The sequence below is a fragment of the Homo sapiens genome, chromosome 9 (assembly GCF_000001405.40).
Source record: "Homo sapiens chromosome 9, GRCh38.p14 Primary Assembly".
NCBI classification, from domain to species: Eukaryota; Metazoa; Chordata; class Mammalia; order Primates; family Hominidae; genus Homo; species Homo sapiens.
Window position 1 is genome coordinate 99,515,813 of NC_000009.12, and position 4,394 is coordinate 99,520,206.

At 45.0% G+C, this 4,394-nt stretch overlaps 1 annotated feature.

The window, feature by feature from the left end:
- Positions 463 to 522: an enhancer, noted in NCBI's record as "active region_28713". NCBI's record gives its function as "activates an Ori minimal core promoter by ATAC-STARR-seq in GM12878 lymphoblastoid cells {active_cell/tissue: GM12878}" and the evidence as "EXISTENCE:reporter gene assay evidence [ECO:0000049][PMID:35858748]".

A 4,394-nucleotide genomic window follows, 5' to 3' on the forward strand; every position in this document is an offset into this window, starting at 1 on the left:
CCGCCATGCTACAGGTGAGAAAACTGTGGCCATGGAATTAATAAGGAAAAAAACACCAAGACAATGTAAGAGTCCACAGATTACGCTGCTAGTGTCTCTACACCATGATTTCTTGAGATAGTCTCAAGTGAGGAGGAAAAGGAGTACTCCAGAGCTTCTCAGAGCTGTGAGAAGCCCAGGCAGGGGTGTGAGTAGAGAGGGAAGAGAATGGCAATGGAGTACTGCTTAGCTATTTAACTCACTCACTCTAAATAGCTTAGCTACTTAGCCCACTCACTCTCACATCCTTCGGATTCACCCTAATAGCATCTAATGGGACAGAAGGCAGGTTCCTAAATCCCTGAGGGCTTCTGCAAGTGGGCATGCTTCATGAGCAGAACAAAAGGCTTGGTGTCCATTCAAGGGCGCCTTTGCTTCTCCATTAAATTCCTTTGACATTCGATGCACTGTGCGTTAATTAATTAATTAACGCACAGTGCATCAAAAGTTTCACATTAAACTTCCTCCGTTCAGCTCAGTTTTGAGGCCAAGGAGGCAAAAAATAACAGCTCCTGAAACCATTTTCTTTTTTTCAAGGTGCTTTTTGAGGAAGTTCACTTCACAACAAAGGAAGTAAAACAGAACCTTTGTCATGATCTTCTTTCCAGCTTTCCTGTAACCTTTGGGTCCAACCTCAGTGCCAGCCCTGCCCCCACCCCCACTCCTCTGACAGGTCTCTGTGACTGCCTCACCTCCTCTGGGAAGCCTTCCCTGACTACCACCACAGTGTCAGTGAGCTTCTCCACTCTTTCCATCCAAAGCACTGCAGCCTTTCCTCTGCAACACATCACATGCTTGTGCATGCTTTGGCTTCGTACTTATTGACTAAGTGCCTGCCTTCCCATGAGATTCTGAGCTTCATGAACACAGTGGCTGTATCTGTTTGGTTCACTGCTGAGCTCACAGAGCCTAGGTCAGTGCCTGGCATATGTGTTGGTCAAATCCCCCTGTTTGTTAGTTTTTCCTTCCTCTCCCCAACATCTGAGTCATCAACACCAAGAGCTGTTCACAGAACACCCACAGTGTGTGGCATTGCATTGGGTGACACAGAGCCCAGGAACACATCTTCAGTTCTAGAGTGAGCCAGTGCTAAGCCCAGAGGCAGCCATGGTGGCATGATGGAAAAAAACAGCACATTTGTGATGAGGAAACTGCAGCAGGGCATTCTGCTTTGAATCTCAGTTTCCCCATCTGTAAAATAGGAATACAAACACTTATCATGCCTATCTCGTGAAGCTATTCTGAAGATCACATAGAAAGATGAAAGAAGTTTATAAACTGTGAAACCCTGTACCACAAATGACAACTTTCATTGTTGTTTTTTATTGTGGTAAAACATACATAACATAAAATATACCACTGTAACCTCTTTTTTCTTTTTTCTTTTTTTTTTCTGAGACGGAGTCTCGCTCTGTCCCCCAGGCTGGAGTGTAGTGGTGTGATCTCAGCTCACTGCAATCTCCACCTCCCGGGTTCAAGCGATTCTCCTGTCTCAGACTCCTGAGTAGCTAGAATTACAGGCATGCGCCACCATGTCCGGCTAATTTTTGTATTTTTAGTAGAGATGGAGTTTCACCATGTTGGCCAGGGTGGTCTCGAACTCCTGACCTCATGATCCTCCCACCTCGGCCTCCAAAGTGTTGGGATTATAAGCGTGAGCCACCACACCCGGCCTGTAACCATTTTTGATTGTACAGTTTCGTGGCTTAAGTACATTCCCATTGTTGTGTAACCATCACCATCATCCCAACTGAATGTACAATTTTTATAAGCAGGATAAAAGGCAGGCAATTTTTCTTAAGCCCTCTTTTCTTAAGCAGTCCTTAGCCCTCCCTCTTCTCCAAGCCCCTTCACAGGCCTGTGGTCTTAGAGCTCTCATGGCCTGATGCCTTGTTTCATGCATGCAGAAACTGCGAGCCAGATGGGGAAAGGACCTGCTTAAAATCCCACAGAACTGGGACTAGAACCTGGGTATCTGGTATTCTTTCCTCCAATCCACCTCCCACAGCAAAAGAGTGATGCCTCTACAAACCAAGGGCTGCCCAGGATTGCCAGAACACAAAGGTTAGGAAGAGACAAAAAAGAATTCTTCCCTAGAGACAGAAAAGAATTCTTCCCTAGAGCCTCTGGAGGGAGTGTGGGTCGCAGACACCTTGATTTTAGGTATCAGGCCTACAGAAATGTGAAAAAATACATTTCTGTCATCTTAAGGCACCCTAATTTGTTACAGCAGCCCTAGAAAACAAATAGAGGAAGTATTAAAATTCCCATAAGATAGTTATAATTGAAAAGTGTCCTGGCATCTTTAATCTTTATAACAACAACATGAGGAGGGTATGAAATCTTGTGATCAGCCCCTTTTTATGGTGAGGCAACCGAGGCCAGAGATATAAGGCAAAATGCCAAGATCACAAGAGAGTAAGCATGGGGGCTGATACTCAGATCTGTATCCATCCTAAGCCAGTTCCAGACAGATGCTCCTAAGGACCATAACCCACTTCCAGTATTCATCCTTCACTGCCTCCTGGAGACACACAGTGTAGAGTTGGGTCTCTTTGCTGTCAAGAAAGCATCAGAGCAGTGCAGACCTGACAAAACCACAAGCCCTTAGGCACATCTAGACCTCAGCCAGGCCTACTCCTGGGTTTTAAGTCAAGCCTTCTCAGATCTAACTTCCTAACTGACTCGTGGGGACTCAAAGATAATCCAGAAATCTCATAGATTTTTGGTAAATTGGATAAATTGTCTTGATCTATTAAGATAAAATTGGACTACATTTGAAAAGGTGAAGTGCAGTCAGCTTGTTATTGACTTTGAATGTGAAAACACTTCGATTTAAGTAATTTCTCCTAGTCATTAATTCTCCTAAAAAGAAATTTACCTAAAAGTCGTCTCCCTTAAAGTGTTTTAAAAGTTAGATGAAATTAAAATAAGAATGTTAAAATGAAATTAAGCAATTGTCTTTAAGATTTTAGCTAAGTGGCTGGGCGCGGTGTCTCACGCCTGTAATCCCAGCACTTTGGGAGGCCGAGGCGGGCGGATCACGAAGTCAGGACATTGAGACCATCCTGGCTAACATGGCGAAACCCCATCTCCACTAAAAACACAAAAAATTAGCCAGGCGTGGTGGCACGTGCCTGTATTCCCAGCTACTTGGGAGGCTGAGGCAGGAAAATCACTTGAAACCGGGAGGTGGAGGTTGCAGTGAGCCGAGATCGTGCCACTGCACTCCAGCCTGGGTGACAGAGCAAGACTCCGTCCCCTCCTCCCAAAAAAAAAGAAAAGATCTTAGCTAATTGACCTAGAGCCTTGAATGTCAAGCTAAAGAGTTCTGACTGTTCTCGAAGGACATCATAAAAGGGCTGTGGGTCAGGAATGATGTGCTCTTTAGAAGGGCTAACCTGACATCCATGAGAAAGATGGATTTGAGAAGAGACGAAGAACATTCAAGGTGGCTGGGGAAGAATCGCAAGGAGAGAGCTGAGACCAGGGCTGGGACAGGAGTCGAGTGAACAGACAAAGATGCATTGTAGATGGACAGTGGCATTTGCTCCTGGCTGGCTGGGGGGAATCAAAAAGGAAGAAGGCTTGGATTTTAACAGTCAGAAGAAAGTGAAAGGAAGAGAAGGGCAGATGTCAGCAGGAAGACAAGCCTGGACAGTGGCCACACCAGGGTATACGTGACCATGGGAAACCCGACCACTTATATGAATACTAGTCTGCTCATTTTTGGACTTGGTTTTAGTGTCAGAAATATAAACTTCTGTCTTGTTTAAGTTGCTGATATTTTGGTTTTCTCTCCCTTGCACTCAAACATAATGAATACTATTACTGGGGCTGTCCATCTTCCTCACAAATACAACCTTCTTTGTTTGTTTATTTGTTTGTTTGTTTGTTGTAGAGATGGGGTCTCATACTGCCACCCAGGCAGTCTCACAGTTCACTGCAGCCTTGAATTCCTGGACCCCAGCAATCTTCCTCCCACAGACTCCCAAGTAGCTAGGACTACAGGCTCACGTGACCATACCCAGCTAATTTATTTATTTATTTTTTAAGATGAGCTCTCTTTATGTTGCCTAGGCTGGCCTTGAACTCCTGGCCTCAAGGGATCCTCCCATCTTGGCATCCTGAGCAGTTGAGGTTACAGCTGGGAGCTACCACAACCAGCTTACAATCTTCTTTGAAGAAATAACTACTTCATCTCCCAGAATATTCCACAGTTCTGAAAGACACCTCTTCTCTGGTTCCCATATTCAATCTGTCTCCAACACTTACAGTTTCTCCCTTAAAGATAAGTCTAGTGCCTTTGATGATGCTCTTGCCTGGGCGACCACTCACTCAGTGTGGCATCTCTC